The 22,363-nt window shown below is 46.1% G+C and overlaps 7 annotated features.

Annotated features, from left to right (window-relative positions):
- Positions 1,839-1,968: an enhancer, noted in NCBI's record as "active region_9535". NCBI's record gives its function as "activates an Ori minimal core promoter by ATAC-STARR-seq in GM12878 lymphoblastoid cells {active_cell/tissue: GM12878}" and the evidence as "EXISTENCE:reporter gene assay evidence [ECO:0000049][PMID:35858748]".
- Positions 4,778-4,847: an enhancer, noted in NCBI's record as "active region_9534". NCBI's record gives its function as "activates an Ori minimal core promoter by ATAC-STARR-seq in GM12878 lymphoblastoid cells {active_cell/tissue: GM12878}" and the evidence as "EXISTENCE:reporter gene assay evidence [ECO:0000049][PMID:35858748]".
- Positions 4,878-4,927: an enhancer, noted in NCBI's record as "active region_9533". NCBI's record gives its function as "activates an Ori minimal core promoter by ATAC-STARR-seq in GM12878 lymphoblastoid cells {active_cell/tissue: GM12878}" and the evidence as "EXISTENCE:reporter gene assay evidence [ECO:0000049][PMID:35858748]".
- Positions 10,630-10,779: an enhancer, noted in NCBI's record as "active region_9532". NCBI's record gives its function as "activates an Ori minimal core promoter by ATAC-STARR-seq in GM12878 lymphoblastoid cells {active_cell/tissue: GM12878}" and the evidence as "EXISTENCE:reporter gene assay evidence [ECO:0000049][PMID:35858748]".
- Positions 16,800-16,919: an enhancer, noted in NCBI's record as "active region_9531". NCBI's record gives its function as "activates an Ori minimal core promoter by ATAC-STARR-seq in GM12878 lymphoblastoid cells {active_cell/tissue: GM12878}" and the evidence as "EXISTENCE:reporter gene assay evidence [ECO:0000049][PMID:35858748]".
- Positions 17,510-17,819: an enhancer, noted in NCBI's record as "active region_9530". NCBI's record gives its function as "activates an Ori minimal core promoter by ATAC-STARR-seq in GM12878 lymphoblastoid cells {active_cell/tissue: GM12878}" and the evidence as "EXISTENCE:reporter gene assay evidence [ECO:0000049][PMID:35858748]".
- Positions 18,740-18,799: an enhancer, noted in NCBI's record as "active region_9529". NCBI's record gives its function as "activates an Ori minimal core promoter by ATAC-STARR-seq in GM12878 lymphoblastoid cells {active_cell/tissue: GM12878}" and the evidence as "EXISTENCE:reporter gene assay evidence [ECO:0000049][PMID:35858748]".

Below are 22,363 nucleotides of genomic sequence, written 5' to 3'. Positions count from 1 at the left end.
GTTTTGATATATTTCAGCCTCTGAGAATGTTGGCAGACCACCAGCTTTTCTCAGGGCCAAGCTCCCTTGAATAAGTCGATGTACTTCTGCATACCATCCCCACTGGCCTGTCCACCGTCTAGGTTCCTGTGATGGGGTGGTGGTGTGGGATTGGGGGAGGGGTGGGGGGATTGATGCCGGGGACGGAGCAGTTGCTGTGGACGATTTGAGTCCTGTGTGGCAGCCTTTCCCTTGGAGACAAGATCCTGGGCTAGGCTCTTGGCACGTGAATGACTCTTGGAGACCATCTAGTCCAATCCACCCTTTTACAGATGAGGAAACTGAGACGTAAAGAGCCCAAGCCAAGATGAAAACCCAAATCTCACCCCAGTCCAGGGTTTTTGTCCTGTTTCTCTATGACAGTCCCGTAAAGAAATTTTGCTGTGATATGATGCAGGTGTCACAACAAGGCTGAAAAGGACAAATCTGGATTTGATTAGAAAGTGTGAGTCCTACTTGCTCAATCTCACATTGAAGCCACAACTTACTCCTTGCCTGAGAGTAGCTTCTCGTCCTGTGGTGTGGGGAGGGGTGGGCAGAGGGAGGACTGGTGCAAACAGTGTTTAGATTTCCTCTCTGATAGACTCCTGGGGTGGAGTTGGAAAGGTCCAAGGTGAGGTGTGAGAGTTTTGACTTGAAGGATCTGCTCTTTTGAGTGCTAGGCAGGTAGGCAGGCATTCTCTTCCTCCTTCCCTAAAAGATCTGTAGCCTCTTTAGGATCAAAGGACGCTGGTGTGCAATGAGAATGCCACTGAGAGGTGGCACCCAGCACCCATCCAGGAAAAGGAACAGACAGAGTGAAAAACTGATGATGGTAACTCACATGAGTTAAAAAAAAAAAAAAAGCAGAAGTAAGTAAAGCTGGCATGGGTATGACCAATGGAAAGGCTCAAATAATGGGGATGTAGAAAGGATTGATGAAACTCTCAGGGGAAATTCATTCACTCAGTCAAGAGCTCTTTAACGGAACACTTACTCTGTACCAGGTTCAGTTGTCGGCACTGGAGAAATCACACCAAGAAGGGTGCAGAGACCCATTGCAAGTGACTTGGGAAGAGGAAAACTCAGTCATGGGCAGACACCCAGTTAAATGGAAAGCAGAGTTAAAGGAGGACAGCGGGAAGAATGAGATCTTGAAAAATCCATCAGCAATTTCGGGACGATAACATGTGCACAGATGATATTTTTTAAAAACCTGGGAGAAAGGAGTCAGTGGGAGACACAATTTGAGAGCTACTGTGGCACTCTGGGGACCAAACTAAAGTGTTTGCACCACATGCTGGGGTAATTCAATCACTCAGCAAGCACTGTTTGAGCACCTGTGTTTCTCTGGCCACACTAGTCTCCCTGCTGTTCCTTGTCCTCACCAGGCATGCTTCCCTACTCTGCCTTTAATCTGCAGGGGGATTATCATAGCTCATTGTAACCTTGAACTCCTGGGCTCAAGCGATTCTCCCATTTCAGCCTCCCCAATAGATGGGACTACAGGCCTGCACCACCATGCCAGGCTATTTTTTTTTCTATTTTGGTATAGGTGGGGTCTCACTATGTTGCCCAGGAGGTCACTATCTCCTGGGCTCAAGCCATCCTCCCGCCTTGGCCTCCCAAAGTGCTAGTATTACAAATGTGAGCCACCACACCCATCCAGAGTTCCCCTTTTTTTTGAGGGCTTCCCCCTACTCAGTAGCACCATTGTCTTAGGTCATTTTCTGTTGCTGTAACATATACCACAGATTGGGTAATTTATAAAGAAATTTATTTCTTACAGTTCTGGAGGCTGTAAAGTCCACATCTGGTGAGGGCCTTTTTGCTGGTGGGAACTCTCTGAAGAGTCCCCAGGTGGTGCAGAGCACCACAAGGTGAGGGGACTGAGTGTGTTAGCTCAGTTCTCTCATCCTCATCTTATGAAGCTGCTAGTCCCATTCCTGTAGCAACCCATTAGTCCATCAACCCATGAATCCATGAATGGATTTATCCATTTATGAGGGCAGAGCTCTCATGACCCAATCACCTCTTAAAGGCCCCAACTCTGAATATTGCTACATTGGGGGTTGAACTTCAACATAAGTTTTGGAGGGGACAAATATCCAAGCCCTAGCAACCATTTAGCAAATGCGTAAACAAGCTGCAATTGTGGTGACAAGAGAAGGCACATCACCCTGGAAAGGACCCTGTCTCATTTTTCTTTGTTTTTATTTTTTATTTTTATTAAGATTATTTTTTAGAGATGTGGTCTCTCCATGTTGCCCAGGCTGGCCTTGAACTCCTAGCCTCAAGTGATCCTCCTGCCTTAGCCTCCCAAAGTGCTGGGATTACAGGTGTGAGCCACCAAGTCCAGTTTATCTCATTCATCATTGTACCCCAGTGCTAGGCACATAGTAAGCATTGAGGAAATGTTGAATGAATGAATATCATTTTTAAGCACTGAGGAAACCTATTTTTAAAATAGTAAATGTTATTATCACAACTTTGTAAAAAGTGCATTTTAAAATGTTTCTAAAATCCACTAATAAATACCAACAGTAAGCCGGACATGGTAGTGTGTCCGTAATCCCAACTACTCAGGAAGCTGAGGCGAGGAGGATCACTTCAGCTTAGGAGTTTAAGGCTGCAGTGAGCTGTGATTGTGCCACTGCACCCCAGCCTGGCCAACAGAGCAAGACCCCGTCTTTAAAAAAAGTTGTAAAAAGAAATACCAACAGCAGTTGAATGGTGGAGTTCTGGGAAATCTTTCGTTATTTCCTTTTCTTTTCTCTTCCTTCCTTCCTTCCTTCCTTTCTCTTTCTTTCTTTCCTTTTTTTTTTTTTTTGACAGTGTCTTGCTGTCGCCCAGGCTGGAGTGCAGTAGTGCAATCTTGGCTCGCTGCAACCTCTGCCTCCTGGGCTCAAGCACACCTCAACCTCCCTAGTAGCTGGGATTCCAGGCGCATGCCACCACGCCCATCTAATTTTTCTATTTTTAGTAGAGATGGGATTTTGCCATGTTGGCCAGGCTGGTCTTGAACTCCTGACCTCAAGTGATCCACCTGCCTCGGCCTCCCAAAGTGCTGGGATTACAGGCATGAGCCACTGTACCTGGCCTTTTTCTTTCTTTTCTGTATTTTTCCCATTTTGTGTACTATAGCAACATTTTTAATAATGAATAAAGTATATTTTAGTCCCATCCACACCTTCCTTCCTCCCAAAAAAGGAATTGTGAGAATTACAATTTACAACCTAATATTTTAAAAGTCTTGTGCCATGTAAAGTGTAAATGACGAAGACTGAGAAACCATGACCTGAACTTTATAATGCAATGAAATAAAGTTTACCACACTCTGACGTGTCTGACAATATGCATGAGGATTGTGTAGCTGGGCATGACCAACAATTCTCATAAAACACTGTGATTGGTATTACTTGAAACAGCCAAACTGGCCTCTGTCAGATGCTTGGGGAAGGGAGGCGGGAACTGGATGGGGTGTGTGTGGCTCTGTTGGCCTCAGAAGACCCCTGGATCCATAACCCAGGTATGCCACTTTGCTGGCAGAGAAGGCCAGGACCTGGGAGCTCCGAGGACCTCCGGCTGACAGATTTGCAGCCTCCAAGTGGGGCTGGTGCTGCACAGGCTTCACAAAGGAGCTTTTTACCACAACAGGAACGGCACGAACACCCCAAACTCTGCTTTCCTTCCCTTCCCAGCCTTCTAGATATGGAGAGTTCATAAGGATACTGCCTGAAATGTCATCAATAAAAATGTGTTGGGCAGCAGAACGATTGCCTTTGAGAGGGCTAGAGGAGAGAATATTCATTCACACAACAAATGTTTATTGAGAATCTACTATATGCCAAGCATAAGGGAGGTCCTGTGCATACATGGTGTCATTTCCTTGCATCAGCCTGATGAAGATGCTATTAGACCCCACTATACAGATAATGAAACAGGCTGGGAAATGTTAAGTTAGTGACACTGAGTCACACATTTAAGTAAGTGGTGGTAGTGGGGAGGGAGGTGGAAAGGGAGGGAGGAGGGACTCAAACACAGCCCCATCAGAGGTGGAGAGCCTCTCTTCCCACATTGCGCATTGCACAACAGCAGAGGTTTCCAGACTTCATGCTTACAGCCTTTGTGACCATCAGCAGCTACTCTGGGTCTCGGTCTCCTTGTTTATAAAAATAAAGTGCTTGAATGGCTCACACCTGCAATCCCAGCACTTTGGGAGGCCAAGGCAGTCGGATCACTTGAGGTCAGGAGTTTGAGACCAGCCTGGCCAACATGGCAAACCCCACCTCTACTAAAAATAGAAAAATTAGCCAGGCGCGGTGGCGGGCACCTGTAATCCCAGCTACTTGGGAGGCCGAGGCAGGAAAATCGCTTGAACCTGGGAGGCAGAGGTGGCAGTGAGCCGAGATCGCACCACTGCACTCCAGCCTGGGCGACAGATCGAGACTCCATCTCAAAAAAAATAATAATAAAATAATAAAATAAAGTGCTTGAGAAAATACGTTTCCCAAGTGTCCCAGCGCTGGGTTCTTTGTCACAGTGTTTCCTCTTCTTGCCTTTTTCCCCACTGTGATCCCTTTTCGGTGATCCTCTTCTTGCCTTTGTAAAAGCTCTGCGGGACCAATTCTCTCGGGCCTTCCGCGCAGAGCTCTCCCAGGGACTCCGGTCTCTCCCCAGCTCGCCCCCTAGGGGACACAGGTGGTGCTGCGTGAGTCCGGGCTCCCAGTGAGAGTCCATGCAATTGTCAGACCAAGTCAACATAATCACCGGTTTGAATTCAACTTCAATTGCTGCTTTACCTTTTAAAAAAACATGGATCTAGAAAATATTCAGCTCTTCCCACATTCACCAGGGCAATGCTGCTGAAACATTTAATGACGGGGAGTATTTGTAGCCCGAAGACCTACTGTTTCTGTGAGTCATATTTAAAAATGGGATTACATGTTTACTTCCTACACCTCAGTTTCTTTTAGGTCCTGTGAGACTACTGATTGATCCAATGCTGATTTTGCAGGGATGCCAAACTGTGATTATAAAACAATATATTTGTCTCTACTTGGTTATTTTTATTAAAATAATCAATTTTTATTAGGTAATATATACATGTGGCACAATATCCAAAAATCACTAAGAGGTTTTCAGTAATTATCATATGACCCAGCAGTTGCACTCCTGGGGATATACCCAAAAGAACTGAAAAACAGGTGTTCAAACAAAAACTTGTATACAAATGTTCACAGCAGCACTTTGCATGATACCCAAAAGGCAGAAACAAACCAAATGTCATCAACTGACAAATAAACAAAATGTGGTTTCTCTATACAATGGAATATTATTCAGCCATAAAAGGGAAAGAAGTACTGATACGTTCTACAATATGGATGGACCTTGAAAGCATTATGCTAACTGAAAAAAGTCAGACATAAAAGGCCACATATTATATCATTTCATTTGTATGAAATATCTTGAATAGGCAAATCCGAAGAGACAGAAAGCACATGAGTAGTTGCTGGGCCAGAGGTAGGAAGGAATAGGAAGTACTAATGAGCATTGAGTCTCCTTTTGGGTGATGAAATGTTCTGAAACTGGATGCTGGTGGTGGTTGCATGACATTATGAATGTACTGTATCATACACCTTAAAATAGTTAAAATAATACATTTTATGTTATGTGTATTTTACCACAGTAAAACAAATAGTACTCTATCTTTCCAGAAATGATGATGATTATTATTATTTTGAGATGGAGTTTTGCTCTTGTTGCCCAGGCTGGAGTGCAATGGCGTGATCTCAGCTCACCACAACCTCTGCCTCCCGGGTTCAAGCGATTCTCCTGCCTCAGCCTCCGGAGTAGCTGGGATTACAGGCGTGCACCACCATGCCCGGCTAATTTTGTATTTTTAGTAGAGACGGGGTTTCTCCATGTTGGTCAGGCTGGTCTCAAACTCCCGACCTCAGGTGATCCACCCGCCTCGGCCTCCCAAAGTGCTGGGATTATAGGTGTCAGCCACGCACCTGGACTGTAATGAGTTTTATTAGTTTGTTTTTTGTCTTTGTTTGTTTATAGGTTTATTCTTCAGAAAATTTTAAAGTTTTGTTGTTGTTGTTGTTGTTGTTGTTTTTTGAGACAGAGCTTTGCTCTTGTCACCCAGGCTAGAGTGCAATGGCACGATCTCAGTTCACTGCAACCTCCCTATCCTGGGTTCAAGCAATTCTCCTGACTCAGCCTCCCAAGGGGCTAGGATTATAGGCACCTGCCACCACACCCGGCTAGGTTTTTGTATTTTTAGTAGAGATGGGGTTCTGCCATGTTAGCCAGGCTTGTCTCAAACTCCTGACCTCAGGTAATCCACCCGCCTCGGCCTCCCAAAGTGCTGGGATTACAGGCATGAGCCACCACGCCTGGCTAAAGTTTCATACACTCAAATTTATCAGTGTTTGCCTTTATGGTTTCTGTATTACATGGCATGCTTAGACAGAGCTTCTTCATTCCACGATTATAAACATATTCAACTATATTTTCTTCTTGTACCTTTTTTATTTTTTATTTTTTTGAGACAGGGTCTTGGTCTGTTGCACAGGCTAGAGTGCAGTGGTGTGGCCATAGCTCACTGCAGCCTCTCCTGGGGCCAAGATTCTCCCGCCTTAGCCTCCTAAGTAGCTGGGACTACAGGACACAGCACCACACCCGGTTAATTAATTTATTTTTTTAGTGGAGAAGAGGTCTCACTAAGTTGCCTGGGTTGGTCTTGAACTCCTGGGTTCAGGCTATTCTCCCCCCTTGGCCTCCCAAAGTATTGGGATTACAGGTGTGAGCCACTGTGCCATCCCCTTTACTTTTATGGTTTCATGTTTGACATTTAGGTTTCTATTCGTCTGGGATTGATTTTGGGATAAGGAGTGAGGTAGCAATATAATTTAAATGGTTTTCCCAAATGGAAAATGATGTGTAGCCTGTTGTCTCAATACTATTTAATGAACAGCCCTTTTTTTCTCCTTTGATTTGAAATGCCAGCTTTAAAGTATTAATTCATATATTTTGGGTCTATTTCTGAATTTTTTTCCTGTTGGTTTATCTGTCTATTTCTCAGTCTACAATGCTTTGTTAACCAGAAGTCGGCATTCAATTTTATGGGGTCATCAATATAAATACTACTAAATTTGACATAGGTAACTCTTGGAAGTTAGAACACAGGAAAGGAAGGGTGGAGTCCCTTCATGTCTGAGACACTAGATGTTGATTCAGGAGGAAATATCAAAAAATTGATTTTTTAAACCAAGGCTTCCTGAATAATATTTTTTGTTGATAAGGCAAATACACATTAAATGTCTGATTTTAACCATTAGTTCTGTTGATTTTTGGCTGAATGAAAACATCAAAGTTTGAAACTATGACTTTATGTTCAACTTATTTATTTTCTTATATTTCTCACAGGTCATATATTTACAAAACTATCAAAAGCAGGAACTTGCAACCCTGAGGGACTCTCTCTAGGTATGCAGTGTCTTCCTCACACAAGGTTAGCAGCTGCTAGGATACTAATGCTCAGGGCTTTCAGTCTTATCAGTGATGACCTCGATAGAAACTTGAGTATATTTCCCTCTTTTTTTTTTGAGATGGAGTTTCGCTCTCGTTGCCCAGGCTGCAGTGCAATGGTGCGGTCTTGGCTCAGGGCAACCTCCGCCTCCTAGGTTCATGCAATTCTCCTACCTCAGCCTCCTGAGTAGCTGGGATTACAGGCATGCACCACCACACCCGGCTAATTTTGTATTTTTAGTAGAGATGGGATTTCTCCATGTTGGTCAGGCTGGTCTTGAACTCCTGACCTCAGGTGATCCGCCTTGGCCTCCCAAAGTGCTGGAATTACAGGCATGGGCCACCATGCCCGGCCAAAGCTCTCCATTGTTCTTTCTAACCCGGGGTCAGAAGTGTGGAATGCTTTTGCCTTGAGATGTTTTTATTCCAGCAAGAAGGCTCAATTTTAAACACAAAATGTACTTGTTTTAGCTCTGTGCTCCCAAACTTCCAAAGGGAAGATCTTTTATAAATTTGCTGGATTCTCTGTGGGTTTGTGTTTATTAACTCCCACCATTTGCAAAGTATTTTGTGGTGGCATAAACATCATTTTAAAACAGGAAGTTAGCTTTTAGTCATTAGTCTGAAATCAAGTGTTTCAGAAGAAATGAAAAGGCTTCAGCCAGAGGAGACTTTAACATGACAAAAGTCACAACAGGAAATTAGGTGACTCTGGCTTGGCCTCTCCATTCACAGCTTTTGGGCATGTTCATTCATTTTGTCCATCTCTTAAATACCTACTTTATGCTCAGCCTCATTTAACACTCTAGTGTACACCAGTCAAAGAGCTACTCAGTCAAACTGCAAGGACTCTGTTAATACACAGGCTTCTCATGTACAAAGGTGGGGAAAAGAGGCATTATTTTCACTGCTATACAAATATTCTGATGTGTGAATGAACCATGATTCATGTATTCATTCTCCTGATGATAGACAACATTTTGGGTTGTTTCCAGTTCTTTTCTATTGCAGACAATGCTGCAACGAACAATCTTGCACAACCCCGTCGTGCACATGTACAAGAGTTTCACTAAGGCAGCAGTCCTCAAAGTGTGATCCAGGGACCCACAGGGGTCCCCAAGGCCCTTTCAGAGGGTCCACACGAGCAAAACTATTTTCTTTTTATTTTTTCTTTTCTTTTTTTTTTTTTTTTTGAGACATAGTCTTACTGTCACCCAGGCTGGAGTGCAGTGTCACAATCTGGACCCACTGCAACCTCTGCCTCCTGGGTTCAAGCGATTCTTCTGCCTCAGCCTCCTGAGTAGCTGGGATTATAGGCGTGCGCCACTATGCCCGGTTAAGTTTTGTACTTTTAGTAGAGACAGGGTTTCACCCCAGGCTGGTCTCCAGCTACTGACCTCAGGTGATCCACCCACTGTGGCCTCCCAAAGTGCTAGGATCACAGGCGTGAGCTACCGCTCCCAGCCGCAAAACTATTTTCATAATAGTTTTCACTCTCATCCTGTCAGGGGTATGCTGTGGAGTTTTCTGGAGGCTGCATGACACATCCACAATTATCTGAAAAGGCTATTAAAATACTCCTACCTCTTCTAATTACATATCTGGGTGAGGCTGGAATTTTCTCATATACTTCAACCAAAACAACATATTGCAACACTTGAATACAAATAGAAATTCTAGCTGTCTTCTAGTAAGCCAGACAATAAAGAGATCGTAAAATATGAAACAATGCCTCTCATCTCCCTAAATTTTAACATAAATAGAATTTTTTTCATAAAATGTGTTAATATCCATTGAGTTTATTTTTTATTTTAAAGCTGATTTTAACTTTTTTAAACTTTTTAACTTTTTTCAGTTTTAATTTCTAATACTGTAAATATAAATAAATACAGCCCACGTGAACAAAAGCTTTTTGGGGTCCTTGATAATTATTATCAGTGCAGTGGCATGATCACAGCTCACTGCAGTCTCAACCTCCTGGAGTCAAGCAATCCTCCCAAAGTGCTGGGATTGCAGGCATGAGCCACTGTGCACATCCTGATAATTTCTAAGGACATAAGAGTCCTAAAACCAAAAAAATATGAGAAGTAGTGCCCTAGGGTATATATACCCAGGAGTTGTGACGTAGGTGCATATTCATCTTTAAATGGTAACTCTAATAACCACTGATGATTAAGTTCAATTTGATATCATTTGTATAGAGCCCCCCAAAGCAGTACAACTAAACTTTATACAGCTCAGAAATGCATGCAGATTGCTAAAATTGAAAAAAAAAAATAGGCAAGGTTAAGCTCAAAATGTAGGATAGTTGGCCAGGTGCGGTGGCTCACGCCTGTAATCCCAGCACTTTGGGAGGCTGAGGCGGGTGGATCACAAGGTCAGGAGATCGAGACCATCCTAGCTAACACAGTGAAACCCCGTCTCTACTAAAAATACAAAAAATTAGCCGGGCGTGGTGGTGGTCCCCTGTAGTCCCAGCTACTCGGGAGGCTGAGGCAGAATGGTGTGAACCCGGGAGGTGGAGCTTGCAGTGGGCTGGGATCATACCACTGCACTCCAGCCTGGGCGACAGAGCAAGACTCCGTCTCAAAAAAAAAAAAAAAATTGTAGGATAGTGGTTACCTTTCACGGAGAGGCAGGGGGATGGAGGGAAAAGGGACAGATTGGACTGGTCTGAGGTACAGTGTTTAGTACTATGCCTTATAACTCACAGATATGCTGCCTTTTTCTTTCATATGTGTTAAATATGACATACTTTCTTATTTACTAAAAATAAGAAAGAAACAGTTTCTGCCCACAAGAGGCTCCCTGTCTGGTGATTGTGAGTGGAAATCACATTCCTCTTCCCTCTGAGTTTCAGCTCATTGAGAAACTGATCAGGAATCAGATCAGCTGAAAGTCCAGGCTCTATTATCTGCAAAGCTGGATTAAAGAATGTGGAGGCCAGTGGTTTTCTCCTCCTTCCTACCTGATCCAGATGGTCCTGTGCAAACCAGGGAGTCCCCTGCTGACCTCTCCACAGGTGGCAGGATCTGTCTGGTGGAGGAGGAGACCCAAAGTTATGCAGGCATTAGGGGATGGCGCCTGTGATATCAAAACCCAGATCTATCCTCCTCCAAGGGTGATGGCTTTTGCTGACCCTTCTGGGCCTCAGTTTCCCTTCCGTAAAAAGGGAGTAACATCTTACAGATGTGTCATGAGCACTAATCGTGTATCCTAGCACAGGGGTTGGCTTTCCTCCTTCCCTTCAAGTGCAAGGTCAGGCTACACCCCTAGGATGACTGTACCCACCTCTCTGGGTTTGGCTGTTCTCAGCCACTTTCAGGGCAGAGATCTATCCTGAGAGGGCAATACTATGACTCATGTCACAAGTGACACAGCTCATTCCACATCATTAATTCTCCCATGTTTCTAGGGCTTACATTTTATCTCCTCATTGGGAAACTGTAGGGGAACCCCCCTCCCTCCCTCCCTCTCCTTCCTTCCTCCATTTACTCCCAGGCTCCCCTCAGACACTTGCACTCTGGGACTTGATTCAAAGCCAGTCATTTACCCCAGGCAGCAGCTATGAGAAACCAGGTAGACCCTCCAAGCAACGAGCTAAGAGAAACATCCCCAAACAACCAGAATGGGCCCTCGCACTGTGCCCTCCTCCTCTCAGACACCAGACAACGGTGGGCTCATCTGGGCTGCATTTAAGAGGCTGATGGCCCTGATCTGCAAGCCTGGTTTAGAACCTGCCCGTTCAATTTGGATTTGATTCTATTCAATTAGATTTAATTCCTTCCAACAATGAAGTATCAGGTGCTGGGCAAGACCAGTGTGTTTAAACCTCTGAGGCTCACCTCCCCAGAAAACAACTTTGTCAGTGACAATTCCAAAAGTGGAGTCTAGTTGAAAGGTATTTTAACTGGGACAAGGAATGGAAGGAGAGGGAACTGCAGGCTATATGGGTTTTGTCATGATTGAGGAATCGATCATGACTGCTCCTCCCACTGAGGCCTCCAAGCCTCACCAGGGAGATAGGGTATTCACATCAAACAGGCCAAGGCCACAGAGGGCTAGTCACCCCTCAGTGTAGTTTAGAAACCTGTGTGTGCTGCGGAGCAGGAGCAGGAAAACCAAGGGGAAAAAGAGCACATCATGAGAGGAGAAACAGTTAAAGCTGTCCCCTTTGATATCCTCCCTATTGGAAAATTCCAATTCTGACGTTCCAGTTCTTTTTTTTGAGACAGAGTTTCGCTCTTGTTGCCCAGGCTAGAGTGTACAATGGCGCGATCTCGGCTCACTGTAACCTCTGCCTCTCCAGTTCAAGTGACTTTCCTGCCTCAGCCTCCCAAGTAGCTGGGTTACAGGCATGCGCCACCACGCCCGGCTAATTTTTGTATTTTTAGTAGAGATGAGGGCTCACCATGTTGGTCAGGCTGGTCTCGAACTCCTGACCTCAGGTGATCCACCCTCCTCGGCTTCCCAAAGTGCTGGCATTATAGATGTGAGCCACCTCGCCCGGCCTCCAGTTCATTTTAAATACATTGAAAAATATATCCATCTATTTTGAGGGAGCAAGTCTGATCACAAGACAGTAGGGAGAGGTATCAAGGTGAGCGGGTGAGAATGAAACAAGTTACACTAATTAGTAAATTGCAGAAGACACTGTACATGTCAGCCAGACCTCTAAAGAGACAAAACAAGATCAAGACAAAAAACCCCAGCAGATTTGAAGAATGTTTACATTCTTGCAACCACAAATGGGAAGTGAGCTCAGGGCCCAGTGGGAGTTTAACAAAATAAAGTTCAAAGTGGAGGCTGCTCTGTGCATATTCCACCCCCTGGTTGCCCTGGCAATGAAACATCTGCCTTACAGTAATGAAATCATATTGAGAAGAAACCCACAAGCGCAAGAGAGCGTCTTTGCCTGCAGACTTGCTGTTGATGTTGCATCTGCCTGCAGCCACCACTGCTTTACTCACTGACAAGGTGCCTAGTGGGAAACCCCAGGAACCTAGGCCTGGGAGGTCTCAGGAGCTTCACCTCCTGGAGGCCTGCTCGAGGGGCTTGGCCTCAGAGACCTGCACTCAGGAGGGGTCAGAGACAGTAGAACTTGGGGTCCGCTCCCTGGCTAGCTAATTAATTCTTGAGCATGTCTTGGAGACGTCGCAGAGAAGGCAAAATGAGTAAGATGAGATCCCTGTTCTTGAGGGGCAGAGAAAGTAGAGGTGCAAATACACAATTAGTTGTGAGAGAAGGCCAAGTTGAGAGGGCAAACAGAGTCCTACAGAAACTCTTTTCTTCTTCATTATTCTTTTTCTTTTTTTTTTCAAGACAGAGTCTCACTCTGTCGCCCAGGCTGGAGTGCAATGGCGCGATCTTGGCTCACTACAACCTCTGCCTCCTATGTTCAAATGATTCTACTGCCTCAGCCTCCCGAGTAGCTGGGATTGCAGGCGTGCATTACCACATCCAGCTAATTTTTGTATTTTTAGTAGAGACCTGGTTTCACCATGTTGGCCAGGCTGGTCTTGAACTCCTGACGTCAAGTGATCTGCCCACCTCCGCCCCACAAAGTGTTGGGCTTACAGACAGCCGTCACACCCGGCCTTCTTTTTCTCATATAGAGGTCATGTTTTTATGGAAAGAAACTTAGCAAGGATGAAAATAAGCCAAAGGAAAAAATTAAAATCACTCCAAATCACATCAGCCAGAGAGAACCACCATTAACATGTTAACATTACCATTAAAGGTGTATCTTTTCGAATGTTTTCTTATGCAAATAGATGAACATGTTAAAATATATATTTGTTCTGTCTATATAAACATATTTTTTCTGAAACAAGATTATATTACATATAGGATTTTGCCCTTTGGCACCTAAAAATACACCATGAGTATATTTTCAGGGAGCACATATATACAACTGGCACCGACATATTTAATATCTGCACTGCTTCCATTATTTGACCTTAAAATAACTTAGCCAACCAAGGTGGAGAGATGGGAGGTTGCTGTCCTTTCCCTCAAGTCGAGTGACGGGGTTCCAATGGCAACACACACTGAGGTGCACAGAGCCCACGCTGGTGTCAGACCCCGCTTGAGAAATCTCAAGGGCATGCAGTCTGGCTGGTAGCTGATGGATAGGATAAAGGGCAGAAGCTGTGCCAGGATCAGCCACCACTCCCAGGATTGTCAGAGTCCAGGATTCACAAGCATTTCCCAAGGACCACAGGCCCAGAGAAACAGGCTGCTTGGTGATCAACATAAAGGTTACAGCAGAACGGAGCTTGCACTTTATTTGGATACTAATGAGCGCCCATTGGGAGGCTAAGGAGGGAGATAGTTCTCTTAGAGCCTGGTGGTAGGAGATGAATCTCATTGTGTGTAAGACACCTGGAAGAAGGGAGACAGGAGACCAGGAAATCAGTTCAGAGGCTGTTATCAAAGTCTGAAGAGAGACATTTCCTCCTTCTACAGGAGTTACAGAATCTGGGCTCAAATCCGACCTCTCCCACTGATGAACTTGAATCAGTCACTTCACTTTCCTGAGCCTTAATAGCTCACCAGTAACATGGGCATAAAAACAACCTCAACGACGTATGAAAATGTTTCACAACTTGATAGAAGTGGTGGTTGTACAATATTCTGAATGTACTAAATGCTACTGGATTTTATACTTTAAAATGGTTAATTCTATGTTATGTGAATTTCTCCTCACTTAAAAAACAGAATAGTCCCTAGGGTTGTTGTGAGGATTAAGCAAATCTGGTGGGTTTGTCTGAATAGTCACTCTTTTTCTTTTCTTTTCTTTTCTTTTTTTTTGTGACGGAGTTTCACTCTTATTGCTCAGCCTGGAGTGCAGTGGCACAATCTCGGCTCACTGCAACCTCCGTCTCCCTGGTTCAAGCGCTTCTCCTGCCTCAGCCTCCCACGTAGCTGGGATTACAGGTGCCTGCCACCACACCTGGCTAATTTTGTATTTTTAGTAGAGACAGGATATCACCTTGTTGACTAGGCTGGTCTTGAACTCCTAACCTGAAGTGATCCACCAGCCTCGGACTCCCAAAGTGCTGGGATCATAGGTGTGAGCCACCACGACTGGCCTTTTTTTTTTTTTTTTTTTTTTTTTGAGACAAGGTCTCGCTGTGTTGCCCAGGCTGGAGCGCGCAGTGGTGCGATCTAGGCTCACTGCAACCTCCGCCTCCTGGGTTCTAGTGATTCTCCTGCCTCAGCCTCCCAAATAGCTGGGATTACAGATGCACACCACCATGCCCAGCTAATTTTTGTATTTTTAGTAGAGATGGGGTTTCACGTTGTTGGCCAGGTTGGTCTCTAATTCCTGACCTCAAGTGATCAGTCCACCTTGGCCTCCCAAAGTGCTGGGATTGTAGGCATGAGCCACTGCAACCAGCCTGGATAATCACTCTTTTTTTTTAGACAGAGTCTCACTCTGTCGCCTGGGCTGGAATGCAGTGGCAGCTTCTTGGCTCACTGCAATCTCCACCTCCCGGGTTCAAGCAATTTTCCTGCCTCAGCCTCCCGAGTAGCTGGGATTACAGGCATGCGCCACTATGCCCAGCTGATTTTTTGTATTTCTACTAGAGACAGGTTTTCACCATGTTGGCCAGGCTGGTCTCGAACTCCTGACCTCATGATTCGCTCACCTCAGCCTCCCAAAGTGCTGGGATTACAGGCGTGAGCCACCGCCCCTGGCCCCGAATAGTCACCCTTATGTGAGCAAACATGAAACTGCCTTTCCATCCGGCTCCTGGCCACAGCCTGATCCCAGTGCTGGTGAGGAGAGGGAGGGTCTCCACCTGCTTCAGTCAGAAGTCCACTGAAGAGACAGTATCCCCATGGGTGCTCTACAAAGTGTCCTAGAGCAGCATTCAACCTGGCTCCCACCATGGAGGACACCAGAGGGGGCAGCCACATCGGTGCTGGTGTTGGTGTGGGCGGGAGGACTAGCTATCCCTCCTTCCAGAGCTCCTTCAGTGCTGGCTCAGCCGAGTGACCACCCAGGCTGCCTGAAGGTTCTTGCCTTTCCAGACCCCCAGCACCTAGCTAATGTCTCTGCTTCCTTTTGAGGGTCCCTTCCCATGTCCTCCCTGCTCCTGGTCTTCCAGCTGCTTAGGGAGAAGCCATTCTGCTGAATTCCAATCCAGAACTTGCTTTCTCACTCACCACTATTTAAGAGACAAATGTAAATCTCCTCCCCTCTGACCTCATGCTCAATAAGTCATTGATTCCAGCCTAACATTTTCTTTCACTGACTCAGTGAGGACAGATGACGTCTCTCATTGATGGCTCCTCCCTCATCTATCCCTGGTCTGTCATGGTTATCACATGATGAACTCTAGGAAAATAGTCATTGAGGAAAAATGGATGGCAGAGAGCGAGGAAAAAGAGACCTTCTTAACATTTGTTCACAAGCCAGACTATGTCGGCTAAAAGCACACCCACTAGCCCTTTGCTTGCTAGCACTTTAGACATCTGGATTTTCTGGAGGGAGCTGTTGCAGGAAGATAGATGTAAAAAAGTTAGGGCTTTTCAGATGGCAGTGGAAAAGGAAAGGCCAAGAGGCCAGTCTCAAGCCCCCTGCCCTCCTTCTAGCTAAAGCTAAAAGTGCCTATCACGCTGAAATGACACAGCGGAAGAAATGGCAGTGACCTTGCCTTCCTGGTTTCTGCATGAAGAGCTTCTACCCATACTTCTGGGAAGCTTTGCCCATCCCCCACAAGGAGATGTTAGGACTCCCTCCTTTGTGCTCCTCAAGGGGTTGTGCCAAGGCTCCATGCGATGTCAGGCGTGGAAGAGCAGAATGCTTCGCACAGGGCCCTTCCTCTCTCCCCTGCGGGAATGCTTCCCATGAGGGTCGCTGGACATCATGTGGGTATGTGAATTGACAGTCTAAGCTACGAAACACCGTGTTAAAAATAATACTTATCTGGCTGTGTAGTCAGTTGCTTGTACCTATACCTGAGCTGTGAGCTCTTTGAAAACAAGAATATTTTATTTATTTAATTTTATTTTTAAAAAGGAGGCTGGGCACAGTGGCTCACGCCTGTAATCCCAGCATTTTGGGAGGCCAAGGCGGGCGGATCACGAGGTCAAGAGATCCAGACCATCCTGGCCAACACGGTGAAACCCCGTCTCTACTAAAAATACAAAAATTAGCTGGGAGTGGTGGTGTGTGCTACTCAGGAGGCTGAGGCAGCAGAATCACTTGAACCCGGGAAGCGGAGGTTGCAGTGAGCCCAGATCGTGCCACTGCACTCTAGCCTGGGTGACAAAAGCAAAACTCTGTCTCAAAAAAAAAAAAAAAAAAAAAAAGGAGCGTCAACACCTAGCACAATGCTGGGCACAATGCTGGGCACAAAGCACACACTGATGGACGTGGAGGGCAGGGGGACTGTCTTCAAGCAGACCCACACCTGGGCGGGAGGGCTGGCACCTGGCTCTTTAGAGCAGCCCTGGCTAGCTTTGCCGGAGTCGAGGCCCCTGGCTGGCTGCTCATCTTTCCTTGGAGATGACTGTCATCTTGCTTGCTTTGACCTGCTCCCAGCAGCTCTTGTTACTAACTCTACAGACTCCTGGCACCTCCCACCTGCTCATGCAGCACTCAACCATGACCCGTTTTCTCAGTTCCTCCTACCACCCACTACCGGCTTCTCTAACTGGACTAGTCCTTGCTTCCCCAGCACTGACCACTGTATGACTGACACACGGTGTCTTAGCAAGCCAGGACAATCAATGGATATCACATTATGGAGACCATCAATGCTATGGACTGCTGGGCGAGCAGTAGAAGAGAGAATATGGGTAGACCTGGGTTCAAATCCTGGTTCTGCCACTAGCTAGCTGTGTGACCCTTACCAGTTGCTAAACTTAGAATCTCAGTTTCTCATCTATATATGGGGATTAAAATGAAAAAACCCAAACCCTATCTCATAGGGTTACTGTGAAGAGTAAATACTGTGGCACATATTAAGTCTCTGGCCTTGTGCCTGACACTTGGCAGATTCTCAATAAGTGTTTGTTCTCTTCCCTTCCTTTTTTTCCACCAAGATCTCTTCCAAGTCTAAAAGTCCACAAGCCTTTGAAACATATGTTCCCTTGTCAAACTATAACTTGGGAAGGTCAACAAGATGCTAGAAAGTTTATCTTTCCCAGAGCAGCAAGGATCCCAGGTGACAGAAGCAGCCTGTGTGTCCCATATTACCCTGGAAAAGATCTCTCATTCCCAGTCCAAAGTCTGACTAATGAAGAGAGGGTGTTGTAGGCAATCAGAGTTCATAAACCACACTTGACTAAGCAGATGAAAGCAGGTTCAGTCTGCAGAGAAGCTGTGAGAGAACAGAAAGCCCAGAGAGGCCTGGGAATGCCCCCTGGGGTTGAGAGAGAGAGAGAGCAGTGACCTGAGAGTAGATGTGTCTGTAAACAACTGGGAGCCAATGGCTTAGCCAGGAATCCTCTGCGCTGGGTCAGTGAGGAGCCTATAGCCTCCCACACAGACTCCCAGGAAACAGATGGGCAGAAGTGAGGGCAGCATTCGCCCCGGCCCTCTTCTTCAGGCAGGTGAAATGGATCGGTTTTGGAGATGTCAAAATGAACAGAAAGAGGAGGAGGAGGAGGCAGTAGCATCATCTTCTGTTAACCCCAAGAGCAGTGGTTCTCAGAGCAAGGTCCCAGGGCTAGCTGCAACACCAGCAAATCTGGGGTTGCTAGAAATGCAGATTAGCAGGCCCTGCCTTAGACCTAATGAATCAGAAACTCTGGGGCTCAGACCCCGCAATCTGCATTCTATTAACACAGACTCTGATGCACACTAAAGTTTGAGATCCATTGGCCAGATGCTTTTGTTCAAAAATGGGAAACTTCCTTCCCATTTTGAAGCAGTGGGAGATGGCATGACGATGGAATGGTCATAACCTTTAGCGACAAGATCTGAATTCAGATCCTGGCTCTGCCCCTACATGGCAGTACGATCTTGGACAAATCCACCCACCTCCCTGCACTCTGATTTCCTCACGTGTAAGATGTCTACCTTGCAGGGTGTGGTTAGGTGGTTAGGTTTAGAGAGAATGTAAGGGAAGCACTTTTCAGAGTGCCTGGCACAAAGTGGGTGATCTCCATCACCACCGTCATAACCACCACAGCTGTGGACAAGCCTCCGGGCGAGTAAGAGCTGCATGCATTTAGGGAAAATCACCAGGCCACATGGGACCCATCTTGCTTTCTGAGTGTTTAACATGTTGCTCAGAATGGCATTTGATGCCACTTATCACCTGGCTCCATCTTCATGAAGTTGGGAACCTAAAGACTTAAAGATAATATTTCCTTTTCAAACTCAATGAGAAACACATCTCTATCTAATTTGGACATACCAAGTGAAACCTCAGTGAGAAAAACCACTCTCATTATAATCTGACCTCAGTGTTTTCTCACCCTACCCCTTTCTCTGTTCCTTTTGGGTAAATCTCTTAAGCACACTGTAGCAATGGGCAAATATTTGTTGAGTGTCAAATGAGTGGATTGGCTCAATTTGACTTTAAAATGCCCTGCTGTTGTGCAATACAAAGAACCAAATTCGTGATTGGGCCTTTAGCCTCCTGAGCTGGAAACATGATGGGACTGACCGTAGCACCCATGTGGGTAACATATAAAAATCTTGGGGAATCAGACACTGAGGGGGCTGTATGAGACCAAGCTGGCCAGCACAGGTCATGTAGGTGGTGGTCTGAATTTACAATGAGATGGCTATGGCTCTCAGTTCCTGATAAAGGCCCTAGCTCCAATAAAGTTCAAAAGAAGTGGACACTGGACACACCCTACCTTCTTCTTATCATTATTATTATTATTTTTTTGAGACGGAGTCTCGCTCTGTCACCCAGGCTGGAGTGCGGTGGCGTGATCTCGGCTCACTGCAACCTCCGCCTCCCGGGTTCAAGTGATTCTCCTGCCTCAGCCTCCCAAGTAGCTGGGACTACAGACGTGTGCCACCACGCCTGGCTAATTTTTGTATTTTTAGTAGAGACGGGGTTTTGCCATGTTGGCCAGCTGGTCTTGAACTCCTGACCTCAGGTGATCCACCCGTCTTGGCCTCCCAAAGTGCTAGGATTACAGGCATGAGCCATTGCGCCCAGCCCACTTCCCCACCTTCTAAACCAACTAGGGGCTTACCCTTGCTGACCAGTCACTTGGTCCCACGGCCTCTGCAATGCAGAGCAAACTGGAACGAGAGCACCAAAAATGTCCTGCCAGTTTGCCTCCTAGGGGTGTGAATGTACATATTGCCCTTCCAGTTCTGGCCCAACGGGCTTAATTAATTCAAGCCCTCAGCATCTTCTTTTACCTCCAGATACCTCGATAGTCTCCTGGGTCTCCCCGACTCCTATCGTGCTCATTTCTACTCATCCTCCTCACTTTTTTTTTTTTTTTTTTTGAGATGGAGTCTTGCTTTGTTGCCCAGGCTGGAGTGCAGTGGCGCGATCTCGGCTCACTGCAAGCTCCGCCTCCCGGGTTCACACCATTCTCCTGCCTCAGCCTCCTGAGTAGCTGGGACTACAGACGCCCGCCACCACGCCCGGCTAATTTTTTGTATTTTTAGTAGACACGGGGCTTCACTGTGTTAGCCAGGTTGGTCTCGATCTCCTGACCTCGTAGTCCGCCTGCCTCAGCCTCCCAAAGTGCTGGGATTACAGGTGTGAGCCACCACACCTGGCTCGTCCTCCTCACTTTCTACAACATCTAGCTCATCATGTCACTGCCCACCCCCTGCTTACAGGATGAAGTCCCAACGCCTTGGCAGGGCATTCAAGGTCCTTTGCAATTTTGCCACAACCTACATATCCATCTTTAGTGCCCATATCCAGTACCTCAGCCACACCTGCCTCCTGCCTGTTAGTGCCCTACTCACTCATACCTACTGGCCACTGACTAAAAGGCCCTTCCTCCTATTGTCTGCCTGGAGGATTGTGGCACCTCTTTCTAGAACATGCTCAAATGCAGCTTTCTGTGAAATGGGCCACCATCTCCTGGTGGCTTAGAGACAGGGCCTTGGTATGTTGCTCAGGCTGGAATACAGTGGCTATTCACAGGCATGATCATAGCTCACTGCAAGCCTAGAATTTCTAATTGCAAGTAATCCTCCTGCCTCAGCCTCCCGAGTAGCTGGATCTTCAGGTGCTAGCCAGCTGAATGCTTTCTTAAGTCTTTACTCGGCCTGCAATTAATTCCATTCCCCACCTTTTCCCACCCACAAATTCCCAGTCTCCTTCAGCATTTGGATCTACTGTCACCTTTAAATTGTTTAAAAATTATTTTTGACACAATTTCAGACTTGCAAGAAAGTTACAAGAATAGTACAAATAATTCTTGTATATCTTTCAGCCCGATACCCTAAATATTGTTTGTGACATTAACCTTAACCTTCCACCCACCCAACTACCTACCTATCTTTTTTTTTTTCTTTTTTTTGAGACAGGGTCTCACTCTGTTGTCTAGGCTGGAGTGCAGTGGCACTATCTCAGCTCACTGCAACCTCAGCATCCTGGGTTCAAGCAATTCTCCTGTCTCAGCCTCCCAAGTAGCTGGGATTACAGGCGTGTGCCACCACGCCTGGCTAATTTTTGTATTTTTAGTAGAGATGGGGTTCTGCCATGTTGGCCAGGCTGGTCTCAAACTCTTGACCTCAGGTGATCTGCCTACCTCAGCCTCCCAAATTGCTGGGATTACAGGCATGAGCCACTACGCTGCTTGCCTGCCTGCCTGCCTGCCTGGCTGGCTGGCTGGCTGGCTTGCTTGCTTCCTTCCTTCCTTCCTTCCTTCCTTCCTTCCTTCCTTCCTTTCCTTCCTTTCCTTCCTTTCCTTCTCTCTCTCTTTCTCTCTTTCTTTTTTCCTTTTTTTCTTTTTTTTGATGGAGTCTCACTCTGTCACCCAGGCTGGAGTGCAGTGGCGTGATCTTGGCTCACTGCAACCTCCGCCTCCCGGGTTCAAGCAGTTATCTGCCTCAGCCTCCCGAGTGGCTGGAATTACAGGTGCCCGCTAATTTCTTTGTATTTTTAGTAGCGACAGGGTTTCACCATCTTGGCCAGGCTGGTCTTGAACTCCTGACCTTGTGATCCACCCGCCTCGGCCTCCCAAAGTGCTGGGATTACAGGCATGAGCCACTGCGCCTGGCTGCCCCTACCTATCTTTCTATGTACTGTATCTAGAATCATAATTTTACTTTTTCTGAACTGTTTGTGAGTTACTTTACAGACATTACTCCCCTCTACTCCTTTGGTGTATATGCTTTGTAAAACCAAGGACATTCTCTTAGATAAGTATAGATAATCATCAAAATTAGGAAATTAACTTTGGTACCAACTATTTTATCTAATCCACAGATCTTATTCCGATTTCACAAATTTTTCCCAATAAAGTTTTTTTTTTTTTCTTTTCAGAGACAAGGTCTTGCTCTGTTGTCCAGGCTGGAGTGCAGTGGCACAATCATAGCTCGCAGCAGCCTCAAGCTCCTGGCCTCAAGTGATCCTTCCACCTCAGCCTCCCAAAGTGCTGGGTGTACAGGTGTGGGCCACTGTGCCTGGCCCCAGTAAAGTTCTTTAAAGCAAAAGAAAGTCCAAGATTAGACACCACATTTAGTTGTCATGTCTCTTTAGTATCCTTTAATCTAGAACAGCTTCTTCTTCTTTCTTTTTTTTTTTTTTTTTTTTGAGACGGAGTCTTGTTCTGTCACCCAGGCTGGAGTTCAGTGGTGCAATCTCAGCTCACTGCAAGCTCTGCCTCCCGGGTTCACGCCATTCTCCTGCCT

Source organism: Homo sapiens, chromosome 15, assembly GCF_000001405.40.
Source record: "Homo sapiens chromosome 15, GRCh38.p14 Primary Assembly".
NCBI classification, from domain to species: Eukaryota; Metazoa; Chordata; class Mammalia; order Primates; family Hominidae; genus Homo; species Homo sapiens.
The sequence above is the reverse complement of the archived record's forward strand: the minus strand, read 5'-3'. Positions and strand labels throughout refer to the sequence as shown.